This window comes from Homo sapiens, chromosome 4, assembly GCF_000001405.40.
Source record: "Homo sapiens chromosome 4, GRCh38.p14 Primary Assembly".
NCBI classification, from domain to species: Eukaryota; Metazoa; Chordata; class Mammalia; order Primates; family Hominidae; genus Homo; species Homo sapiens.
This window is the reverse complement of record NC_000004.12, coordinates 109,619,449-109,632,244: the sequence shown is the minus strand read 5'-3', so window position 1 is coordinate 109,632,244 and position 12,796 is coordinate 109,619,449. Positions and strand designations below refer to the sequence as shown.

At 40.5% G+C, this 12,796-nt stretch overlaps 1 protein-coding gene across 2 annotated transcripts in view; it reads right to left on the bottom strand.

Moving 5' to 3' along the window:
- The window catches only part of MCUB (mitochondrial calcium uniporter dominant negative subunit beta), a 128,474-nt gene that overhangs the window by 56,475 nt on the left and 59,203 nt on the right, over positions 1 to 12,796 (bottom strand). The window lies entirely within an intron of this gene.

Here is a 12,796-nt window from a genome sequence, read left to right as displayed (position 1 = left end):
AAAAAGAAGAATATGAAACAGATACATATGTGGTCAGAAAACCTAAAATATTTACTATCTGGCCCTTCACAGAGAAAGTACACTGACCTCTGCTGTAAATAAATTTCAATAATGGAGGGATGTATTATTTCAGTTTTGTTCTTTGGATCTTAGTGCTCCTTAATAACATTTATCTAGGCTGAGATTCGGACCTCTTCAAAGAGGGTGTGGTTATTGGCTACATGAGAAATACACAAGCATCAGCGCCAAAGAGCCAGAGGTGGGCTGTGAAAGGGGCCTGCCGTTTGTCAGCAGTGTAAACAGGACCAAGCTGTTCTCTAGACCAGCCCTCTTGGTGGGAGGAAACCAGCCAGAAGACTGGGCTGGAGCTGCCTGAGAAACAGCCTGCAGGTGGGGAGAGAAAGGTCTGAGAGTGCTGCTTAAGTTGATCTGTGAGGACCCCTGGGCTGAATAAAGGAAGGTGAAACAGAACTGGAAGGACAGTACCGATCTACTGTTGCCACCATGCATTGTCTCCCCAGGTCCTGCACTGACAGAGCCTAAAGCTGCACAGCTGGTAAAGGAGAAATGTTGACAGAGTCCAACTCCAATATCACAAAGCAGGGCAAAGAACTATAGATTTGGGGCTGACGGATAATAAATTAATAACTGAAACTATACTTCCTCTTTTTTTCCTTACTGCACTTTGCACTGCACTTTTTAAAGGAAAATCCTGCGAACATGTATTGTGTCCAAAGCATATATTTAATATTTACCACAATATTTAGTACATATGCCACAGGCACTCAATTTCTATTATTTATTTTCTGAATAAAAAAGAGCTATGTGAAGGAGTTTCACATTCCTATCTAGTTATCTGATGTTGGGAGATGAAAAATAAAAGAGGTGTGATAGTTGAAAAGAAAAACAGATTCCTAGAGTCACAAAACATGAGAGATGAGTAAAGCTCATCAACTAGAAATGTGTTGACATCAGAAGCCACAAATCAAGTGCCCGTGTGTAGTGTGGTGTTAAACATCACAACAAACAGAACTGTACAGATTGTGTGCATACTCAGTTTCTAATTGAGCGGAAATTATTTATATAATAACTTGCTTCCTCTGAAAGATTATCCTCTATGGCAAATTATACTAGCTTGATCTCATCTGAGTTGCCACTGACTTCTGTCCAGAAATTGAGTATCTAGGCAGAAAAGGTGAAAAAGAGAATAAACTATCATATAAAGAATCAAAAAGAATTCTGTATGTTGTCAGGTCTGCGAAATGGTGAAGCTCAGGGACTCTTCAAATAATGAGTCAGCTTGTATAATAGGAAGTCCAGGAACGGCAGTACATTTAATGCAAGAATAAAAAAACAATTTTGCAGGCCAGGCGCAGTGGCTCACGCCTGTAATCCCAGCACTTTGGGAGGCTGAGGCGGGTGGGTCACCTGATGTTGGGAGTTCAAGGCCAGCCTGACCAACACGGAGAAACTCCGTCTCTACTAAAAATACAAAATTAGCTGGGCGTGGTGGTGCATGCCTGTAATCCCAGCTACTCGGGAGGCTCAGACAGGAGAATTGCTTGAACCCAGGAGGCAGAGGTTGCGGTGAGCCAAGATCATGCCATTGCACTCCAGCCTGGGCAATAAGAGCAAAAAATCCATCTCAAAAAACAAAAACAAACAAACAAACAAAAAACAGAATTTTGCAGCTGAAATCATTTATGTATCATCTGACTTATATTATCTGACTGAAAACTCCCAAGAAAAAAAAATTTAGATAATGAAGAAAAAAATTTTTTTAGAGATGGGGTCTCACTGTGTCACCCAGGCTGGAATGTAGAGGTATGATCATAGCTCACTGCAGCCTCCAACTCCTGGGCTCAAGTGATCCTCTCTCCTCAGCCTCCTGAGTAGCTGCGACTACAGGCTTGCACCACGAAATCTGGCTGTTTTTTATTTTATTTTTTCAGAGACAAGGTATTGCTATGTTGACCATGCTGGTCTTGAATTCCTGCCTCAAGTGATGCTCCCACTTCAGCCTCTCAAGTAGCTGGGATTATAGGCACAAGCCACCGCACCCAACAAGAATTCTTTTTTAATCTGATAAAAAGAAAAAAAGCAGCTATGTTTCCTGTAATACTATGAAATATATATTTGGTCTACTTCCCCGTTTCCTGGCAGAAGCTCTTAAAATCCTTGGAATCTTCAAAGTGGTAAGTGTCTTTTATATGCTAATGTGTTGACCGATAGCTGCCAGCTCCTAGGTAGCTTCAGGACGGGAGCTACTCACTAGAAGGACCAAGGCAGGATTAGAGGGTTGGGACTTTCAGCCCCACTGCCCAATCTCCAGGAAGTGGGGGAGAAGCTGAAGGTTAAGTTGATCACCAATGGCCAAACGTTTAATGAATCATTCCTACATAATAAAGCTTCCCTAAAAATCCAAAAGGACTGTGTTTGGAGAGCTTCCAGGTAGTTGAACACATAAATGCTCCGGGGGAATGGCATCCCCAGAGAGTGGACAGAAGTGCCACACCCTTCCCACATGTTTTGCCCTATGCATCTCTCCATCTGTATCCTTTGTAATATCCTATATAGTAAACGAGTAGATGTGTTTCCTTGAGTTTTCTGTGAGCCACTCTAATAAATTAATAGAACCCGAGGAGAGGACAGTGGGAACCCTGATTTATAGTCAGTCAGCAGCATAGGTAAAACAACTAGTGTCTTTAGATTATCATGGGAAGCTATCTCCAGGTATACAGTGTCAGAATCAAATTGAATTAGAGGATACCCAGCTGGTATCCATTGCAGAATTAACTGATTGATGGCTGGTGGTGAGAAATCTCCATGCAATTCTTGGTGACTAGGGGTCACAGAAGTCTTCTGTGTTGATTGTTGTTAAGACAATAGAAAAAACACTGGTTTTTATTCCTATATTTTCAGGTTCCTCAAATCAAATTTCTAGTAAACAGTCTAGGCTGGACAAAAGCTCTAACTTAAGCTCTTAAGGCTGAGGGAAGAGAATCGCTTGAACCCAGAAGGCAGAGGTTGCAGTGAGCCAAGATTGCAGCACTGCACTCCAGCCTGGGTGATAGAGCAAGACTCCATCTCAAGAAAATAAAAATAAAAAATTAGAAAAAATAAAAGAAAAGTTCTAAGGAGGACTGACTCAATTTTAATTTAGGGAGATGAAGAAAACATAATCTAAATTTCGCTAAGACCCTACCTAACAGGTCCCACAAATAATTCTTTAGCACCAAGTCCTAAACTGCTGCTCCAAACATTTCACTCTTCGGTGGCTTCTACACCTTTGGCCGTGGCTTCCTTTGCCTTGAATGCCCTTCCTCCTAGACTCCAGTCTATAATTCTAACCATAAAGACAAACAAGCAAGGTGCAGGCTTCAGAGGCAGACTGCCTGTATCGACGTCCTGGCTCTATCTGCAGGGCCTGCGCCCACGTCCTTAACCTTTTAGAACCTCACTTTGCCCTCTCTCAAGAAAAGCTCAATTTTGCAGAAGGGTAGAAATTATTTTCTCTCTATACTCAGCCCTTCACCTACTTTTCCCTAGCTCAGTAAGTGGTACCGCCATACACCCAGCTGCTCAAGCCAAAAACCAGGCTTTCTCTTTCAAACATACAATCCCTCAGCTGGTGCTATCAAATCTGCTTTCAAAATAAACTCCAAATCAATCAAATTTGTTCTTATTTCCACTGTCTCCACCCTTATCCAAGCCATCACCATCTTTCCCTGACTACTTTGCCTCCTAACTGGTTTCCTGGCTTCTACTCTTGCCCTCTGCAATCATTCCCCATGTAACAGCTAATGTGATCTTCTAAAAGCATAAATCAGATTGTTACTCCCTTGATAAAAACTCAATATCCCACCATTATCACTTAGAATTAAATCTCTGCCTTGTCTGGCCTCTGCCTACCTCCTTTATTTCATCTTCTGTTTCTCTTTCCTTCGCTCTTTCCTCTCCAGGCGCACTGGCCTTCTAATGTATTCCTTACATACATTCTTAAATACAATTTCATTGCTGCTTGTGGACTTTGCACTTGGCCATTTCTTCTGTCTGGGATGCCCTTCTATCAAATCTCTGTACCACCAACTCCTTATCATTCAGAACTCGCTCAAATGTTGCCTCCTCAAGAGGGCCTCTCCTGACCATCCTACCCAATGTTGCTCCTGCCCCAGGACTCTTTGTCCTATACCCCTCCTGTTCTAACATCTTCCTAATTCTTATTTCAATCTGAAAACAAATGACTTATATGTTATATGTTCCCTTTTTTATTGGCTTCTCCCTACTAAAACTTCAAGAGAGCAAGGATCCTCTTTTTTTTTTTTTTCTTCTGAGACAGAGTCTTACTCTGTCACCTAGACTGGAGTGCAGTGGCCTGATCTCAGCTCACTGCAACCTCCACCTCCCAGGTTCAATTGATTCTCCTGACTCAGTTTCCCGAGTAACTGGGATTACAGGTGCGCACCACCACACCTGGCTAATTTTTGTATTTTTACTAGAGACAGGGTTTCACCATGTTGGCCAGGCTGGTCTCGAATTCCTGACCTCAGGTGATCCGCCTACCTTGGTCTCCCAAAGTGCTGGGATTACAGGTGTGAACCACCGTGCCCAGTCTAGAGAGTAAGGATCTTGCCTCTGTGTTCTCAACTTTATCTGCAGCACCAAGGGCCACGCCTGACACATGGCAAGCACTCATGAAAATATCTGCTGAATGGAGGAATGACTGTATAAACAACTACAAGATAATGTGACAGTTGCTGTAATAGAGTTATGAAAAACTGCTATGGGAGCACAGCAAAAAGCTGTTGATTTCCTAAAATGCTTGACAGATTCCATTTGAGGAGGCAAAACCTAGACTCTTTCAATTCCCTGAAATCATGTATCATACCACCTTATCCTCAAGTAATTATTGAGATTAATTTAATTCTTCAACAACAAAAAACTAAACTACTCCTTTTGTCATTCCTTCCAAAATGCTTCCAGATACATGCCAGCAAACACTGGTCATCTTCTGTCAGTCACAAAAAAAGTGAAGAATTAGGATTTATTTGGGCATAAAGTATATTGAGGAAATTTCTGAAAATATTAAAAAACTAAATTTAGAAATAGTGGTAAATAATAGAAGACTAGAACTGAAAACTAAATATCCCTAGCAAATGTTCATAATTCATCCACTAATTCAACATATGACATTAGCAATTTTAACATATTAATGCCTATATTTTGTCCTTCTTTGTTCTATTTACCCCTTAATGTTGAACAAATATCTCCAAATAAAATTTGTTTTGTCCTAAAAGAAAGAAAATCAGCCTGTTTTAATTATAATGTGACAAAATGCAGCTAATGCTCCTCAAGTTGTTTACTACAGTCTTGCAAGTACGAACGCTATCCAGGCTTCCTTTTTTTTTTTTTTTTTTTTTTTTGAGTCGGACTCTCACTCTTGTCACTCAGGCTGGAGTGCAATGGCACAATGGCATGATCTCAGCTCACTGCAACCTCCGCCTCCTGGGTTCAACTGATACTCCTGCCTCAGCCTCCCGAATAGGTAGGATTATAGGCGCATGCCACCATGCCTGGCTAATTTTTGTGTTTTAAGTAGAAACAGGGTTTTGCCATGTCGGCCAGGCCTGTCTCAAACTTCTGACCTCAGGTGATCCGCCTGCCTCGGCCTCCCAAAGTGCTAGGATTACAGGCATGAGCCACTGCGCCTGGCCCAGGATTTCTTTTTAATTAAAAAAAAAAATCCTGATTCTCAATGGACTTTTCATGAGTCTGTGTATTCTGAATTATAACTATTTATCTATGTAGCGACAGAGATGATAGCACCTATGTACTACAGCCATGATTTCTGAATATTAAATTTTTGAGTATTAAATCTACTAAATCTCTTCTATAAAGGCTTTTACACTCTTCTTTAAAACAGCTTATTTATAATCACTGGAAAAGAAAATTTGTGATAAGAACTTTTTTTCTTGTAAATTTTCTCTGCCAGAAAAATCTTCCACATATCTCCTCTAAGAATTTCAGGAAGGAATTTGGGATTGGTGAGAACTGTAAAATTAGTCCAGAAGGAAATTATGTAGGAGAGAATCAAGTGCTTAGTGTAAACAGTGCTAACAAGCCAGTTTTGTCACAGTCTTAGAACCTAAATTTCACTTGAGGAGTTACCTCAGACTGTAGGACACTGGTCAACAGAAACCCTAATCTAGGACACCCATTTGTAACTAAAATGATGATAGAAAAAGGCTAAAACTGAATCATGTCTGAGCTTTAACACTGAGGACGAATGCATTAAGGAAAAATCATTAAGGAAAAGACTTACAACAACCTAAACAAAAATTTTTCTTTGCAGATAATTTAAGACAACCTAAAGAAATAATTTTCTGACTACTGTATACTCAATGGAAACTGCATTCCTCAGAACGATGAGATACTGTACCTCACCCTGTATCCTCTCTTTCTCCCAAAACCATTTATTGACCATTTATTATATTTGCTATATAATGCACTAGACTCTGGAAATCTACTAGTAAACAAGATACAGTCCCTACTCCATGAGATCAAAGAGTGATTGTAATTGTAATATGGATGCTCTTTAGCTTATGATGAGTTCATTCCAAGAACCCACTGTAAGTTGAAAATATCATAAGCTGAAAATGCACCTAACCTATTAAAATAAACTTCAAAGATTAGCCTAGCTTACAACTCAAATGTGCTCAGCATGCTTACACTAGCCTACAGGGGTAACATCTTCTAACACAAAGCCCATTTTATAATAAAGTGTTGAATATATCTCATGTAATTTATTGAATACTGTACTGAAAGTGAAAAACAGGATAGCTGCATGGATACTCACAATTAAGTAACATACACAGGTGAATGCATACTGGGCCTGAAGAATGTTTGAAGCATTGAACTAAAATTAATTGCTGGATGATGGGGATGCTACTGCAACAGGGTCATTAATTTCTCTTCTGATGAGGCCTGAGAGTAGCTGGGAGAAGGCACTGGGGCATCGATACTTGTTAATGGTTTAGCAGGCATAGTGTTCTTCAGGAAGACATCAAGTTTTTTTAATTTTTAAATTTTAAATTTTTTGTTTTTTGAGACAGAGTCTTGCTCTTTCACCCAGGCTGGAGTGCAGTGGTGCGATCTCAGCTCACTGCAACCTCCACCTCCCCGGTTCAAATGATTCTCCTGCCTCAGCCTCTTGAGTAGCTGAGACTACAGGCATGCTCCACCACACCTGGCTAATTTTTGTATTTTTAGTAGAGGCGGGGGTTCACCATGTTGGCTAGGCTGGTCTTGAACTCCTGACCTCAAATGATCCACCCACCTTGGCCTCCCAAAATGCTGGGATTACAGGTGTGAGCCACCAGCCTGGCCGACATCAGGTTTGGACTATACAGTTTGTTCTCCTTTTCATTATATATTTCTCTGTAGCAAGCAAGAGCATCCTGTACTGTGTGTCAGCTCCTGTGAATAATGACATCCCTTTCTTCTAACTTCTGAATGGCACTGCTGATAGTGGCAAATATCTCTGCCAGTTTCTTTGCCGTTAACTTTCTTGGTGCCTCAGGTATAACTTCTTCCTCTTTCTCAACTTCTTTCTTCCTCCAGTTTGATTATCTCCTCATTGGAAAGCTCTTCAGATTCAATGCCAAGAAGTTAATAAATATCCTCTTCATCAATTCTAGCTATTCTCCAAGCACTAGTATCTTGTTACTGTTTCATCAACAGCAGAACCTTGCTAAGGCCTTTGAATGTGTTCACATGTCTTCAAAACTTTTTTCCAAATGCCATTCATGCATTGCTGTGTGACTTCTTTCCATGCTCCAGTGATATTCTGGATAGCATTTAGAATGTTAAAACTTTTCCAGAACTCTAGGAGCATTCAGCCAGATTCATTCACTTCAACAGCCGGAGCAAATGCCTGGCATAGTGTGCTTTGAATGCAGCTATTGTGCCTTGGTCCATGAGTTGAGTGTGGTTGTGTTTGGCAGCAAACTCATAACTTTCCATAAGAATGCATGTCACCTATATGCTGTGGGTGCCCTGGAGCACTGTCTAAGATCAGAAGAATCTTGAATGGGGCCAGGTACAGTGGCTCGTGCTTATAATCCTAGTGCTCTGGGAGGCTGAGGTGGGAGGACTGCTTCAGTCCAGGAGTTTAAGACCAGCCTGGGCAACATAGTAAAATCTTGACTCTACAAAAAATTTTTTAAAAATCAGTCAAGTGTGCTGGTGTGCACCTGTGATCCTAGCTACTTGGGAGGCTGTGCCAGGAGGATCATTTGAGTCCAGGAATTCAAGGTTACAGTGAGCTATGATCACACCATTGCACTCCAGCCTGGGTGACAGAACAAGACTGTCTCTCTAAAAATAAAAATAAAAGATCTTGAATGAAGTCGTTTTTTGCTTACAATATTCTCTTGCCTGTGGAAGAAAACAGTTCAAAAGCCAGTCTTCGAACAATGCTGAGGTCCTCCAGGGTGTCTTGTTATGGTGATAATAAATAAGAAGCGAATGCTTGCTCACATTCTTGAGTGTTCTTGGGTTCCCTGAGTTGTAAATTAGGAAAAGCTTTAATTTGAACCCTGCAACATTTCCACCCAAAAGCAGCAATACACAGTCTGAATGCCTTAAGTTCTTGACAGGTTGCTTCCAGAGCAACCCTATTTTATTTACATAAAATATTTGTCCTGGGAAATATTTATTATCCACAATTATCGTGTACAGCTCTTCCTAAAAGCTTTGACACATTCAATATCAGCGCTTGCTGACTCTCTGCTGACCTTCACATTAAGAAAATTATGATGCCTTTTGAAGCACTGGAATCACCTATGACTTGCCATAAACACTTGTGTATAATAGGATCATCGACACATTCATTCACTCTTTTAGTGTAATCAAAAACACTTCTTGCCCTAGCTGGCATCATCAGTAAGTAGTATGCCCTTCGATATCTGGTCTTACATCCACATGACAAGTAATTTTTCGATATTATCAATCAGCCAAGCTCTTTTCTTCGTGACAGTGGATTTAACTAATGCTGACGATTTCACTGCCTCACTGATTCACTTCTTATTCTTTAAGATGGTTGAGGATCATGGATCGTGAAAGTCCCAACTCTTGTGCAATGGCCATTAATCCCTTGCCGTCTTCATGCAGGGCGATTATCTTGAGTTTCATCTCAAGAGTAATTGCCTTCCTCTTCTTCTCACCAGAAGCAGGAGGCATAGATGAGCATACTGTAGACATGACAGGATGCAAAAGCGCGAAACACAATGTCCAAGAAACGCCAGTCACACAATACACAGCAGAGTATTGGTTGTTGACCTGCATGATGCGTGGCTGGCTGGGAGCTGTAGCTTGCTGCTGCTGCCCCACATCGAGACAGAGTATTGTACTGCATATTGCTAACCCAGGAACAGATCAAAATTCAAAGTACAGTTTCGACCAAATGCACATTGCTTCACACCATCATAAAGTCGAAGCCATCATAAATCAGGGACCATGTGATAAGGTGTATGATGGATTAAGTTTGGGGTGCTGTGGGCACACCCATGGAGGCATATATATAACTTAATCTTGAAGTGATTAGAGCAGATTTTATCAAAATTACAATCTACATTATTGGTTTTTAAAGTGCCTCAGAGGATCCTCACTTTTAAATCAAACTGACATTTCTAAAAGAAACGAAACATCCTTGCAGTCCAGAATTGCTTTTCAAAATCTAAAGTTCCAGATATCTTTCTTAGTAGATTTTAACTTTTAGTTTCCATCCATTGAAATCTCTTGGCCAATAAATAATTTGGTTATTTTACATATTTTATCCCACATTTCAGAAACATTAGATTTTCTATTCCTTATTAAAAATTTTTTCTTTAAAATAAACAAATATACACTACAGGTTACCACAGGATGTGTGAAGTGAGAGACAATGTAGAGAACAGACTTTTGTCTTTTGCTTTCTAACACTTGATTCTTCAAGTTCTTTTTACAAGCAGCATGTTGTCCTTTTATAATTCAGAAACATATACATATAATTATTAAAAATGCTCACCAGGCACAGTGGCTCATGCCTGTAATCCCAGCACTTTGGGAGGCCAAGGTGGGCAGATCACTTGAGGTCAGGAGTTGGAGACCAGCCTGGCCAACATGGTGAAACTCCCTCTCTACTAAAAATACAAAAATTAGCTGGGCATGGTGGCGGGTGCCTGTAATCCCAGCTACTTGGGAGGTTGAGGCAGGAGAATTGCTTGAACCTGGGAGGCAGAGGTTGCAGTGAACCAAGATCATGCCTCTGCACTCCAGCCTGGGTGACAGAGTGAGACTCCATCTCAAAAAATAAAATAATAAAAAAAAGTCCTAAAATCCCCACATTATAAGTTTCATGTTTTCTATGGATGAACAACAGAGGTGTAAGTACACTAGTCATTTCATTGTGATTTAATTATTCCTTGGTAATAACTTATAGTGACATTATAATTTTGTGACTTAACATTAAGCAGGAACAAGAACAAAATAATAATGCTCTATTTAATATACTCTGCCCCTTATTTTATTACAGTGTAGAAGCTTAAGGGATAAAATTTGCTTTATTTCTTCTGTGTACGGCCACTGTAGAACATTACGTTCCTTTCTCTCAGGGTATGATAATTCAGTACTGCTGACTTAAATTCATGTCCTTTTTCTTCCAAGCCATTTCAAAGTGTCATTTGGCATTCATCTACCTTGTAACATTTCTGTGTGATATATTAGAAATAATTAGGATAATCCTTTTTTTTTCCTCAAATATGCAGGGTAAAGATGGAGGATGATTATATAAGCTCTTTGTACCACCCAACTCTAAGAGTAGCCTTCAATTGTATAATTTGTAACAGTTATAGAATCAACTAAACTCTTAATAGTATCTTAATCATTACTCCTCATCCCATTCTTCCTTTCCAACCAATTCAGTCTATTAGTAGCCATTGAAAAACAACAAGAAATTCAATCAAACTGGTAAGATTTACTGTGGCTTAAAAGTTAGAAGAATGAGGGGGCTGGGTGCAGTGGCTCACACCTGTAATCCCAGCACTTTGGGAGGGCAAGGCAGGTGGATCACGAGGTCAGGAGTTCGAGACCAGCCTGACCTACATGGTGAAACCCCGTCTGTACTAAAAAAATACAAAAATTAGCCGGGCGTGGTGGCATGCACCTATAATCCCAGCTACTCAGGAGGCTGAAGCAGGATAATTGCTTGAACCTGGGAGGCAGAGGTTGCAGTGAGCCAAGAGAGAGCCACTGCACTCCAGCCTGGGTGACAGAGAGAGACTCCATCTTGGGGGAAAAAAAAAAAAGAAGAAGAATGTTGAAGTTCTTGTTCTTTGAGCAAGTTATTTAGCCTCTCTGAGCTTCAGTCCCATAACCTGTAAAAGTAGGGATAAAGTTGCCTCTTGACTACCTGGAGTTGCTCAAAAGCTTAGGGGAAGAGGCTTTGTGAATTATAAAGCATCATAAAGACAATATGTTATTAATGTAATCAATACTCTTTACTTTTAATCAACTGCCAGTCTCTTTACATCAATAACAAAGAGAAAAACAAAATTATTGCCATAGGATCATTAATGCACAGAGGCAGTTATGATAACAATTGAATGCTAATTTATACATTCATGAGATTATAACACCTAGCTTGCTTCGGAGGATCTCAGCAAACGCTTATCTTCTACTACCTTCTCCTGTTATATCTAGTATGTTACTTGAAGTTTCTTCATAAATGGCTCTTTAGGGCACATGTACAATACATTTTAGGGTCAAGGGAGGGGCAACTAAAATCCTTCTATGATACAATTGAATAAAATTCTGATACAATAATTTATTATAATTAGTACTGTCCAGTGAGGAACTATTTCCTGCCCACAGTGTGCCATAAAGAAAGAAATCAGGATGTACAGACAGGCCTCACCTCTGACCTGTTGCTGAAGTTAGTGTGCCTGGATTTGCTCCTCTGAAAACCTGTTTTGGGATATCAGAATTTAAATTTACATTGCAGTTAGAAGTAATCGAGGCATCTGTCTGACATTGGTTGTGCCTGTAAGCAAAACGAGAAGGAACAGAACACTTGGTAGTTGACCATGAATCCACTCAGCAGTTCCTCCAACACTGTCCTTAGGGATATCCGGCTGATGCCTAGAGGCCTCAGAATCTATCTGATGAGACAGGGAACTGGCATGAAGAGTTTAAAGGCAGAGCTCAGTTAGGCAGGCAGGGATGGGTATCCACACTGTCACTCAATAGCTATGTGACGTAGGTACCTTAACTTCTCTAAACCTCAGTGTCCTTATCTATACAATGGGGATAACAGTACCTACTTCACAAGGCTGACACAGCATTAAAGATGAGCAGGCTTGTGTAAAGTGATATATGCCACAATATCACTTTACTATAACTATTATTATTATAACTTCTCAGGCAGAAGCAACATGTCCCCAAAATACAATTACAGACTAACTTACTGATGATCTAAAAGCTTTGTTACTTTTTTCTTTCTCGAGACAGAGTCCCACCCAGTCACCAGGCTGGAGTGCAGTGGTGCGATCTTAGCTCACTACAACCTCCACCTCCCAGGTTCAAGTGATTCTCCTGCCTCAGCCTCCTGAGTTGCTGGGACTACAGGTGTGCGCCACCATGCCCTGCTAAATTTTGTATTTTTAGTAGAGATGGGTGTTTCACTATGTTGGCCAGGCTGGTCTTGAACTCCTGATCTCATGATCTGCCTGCCTCAACCTCCCAAAGTGCTGGGATTACA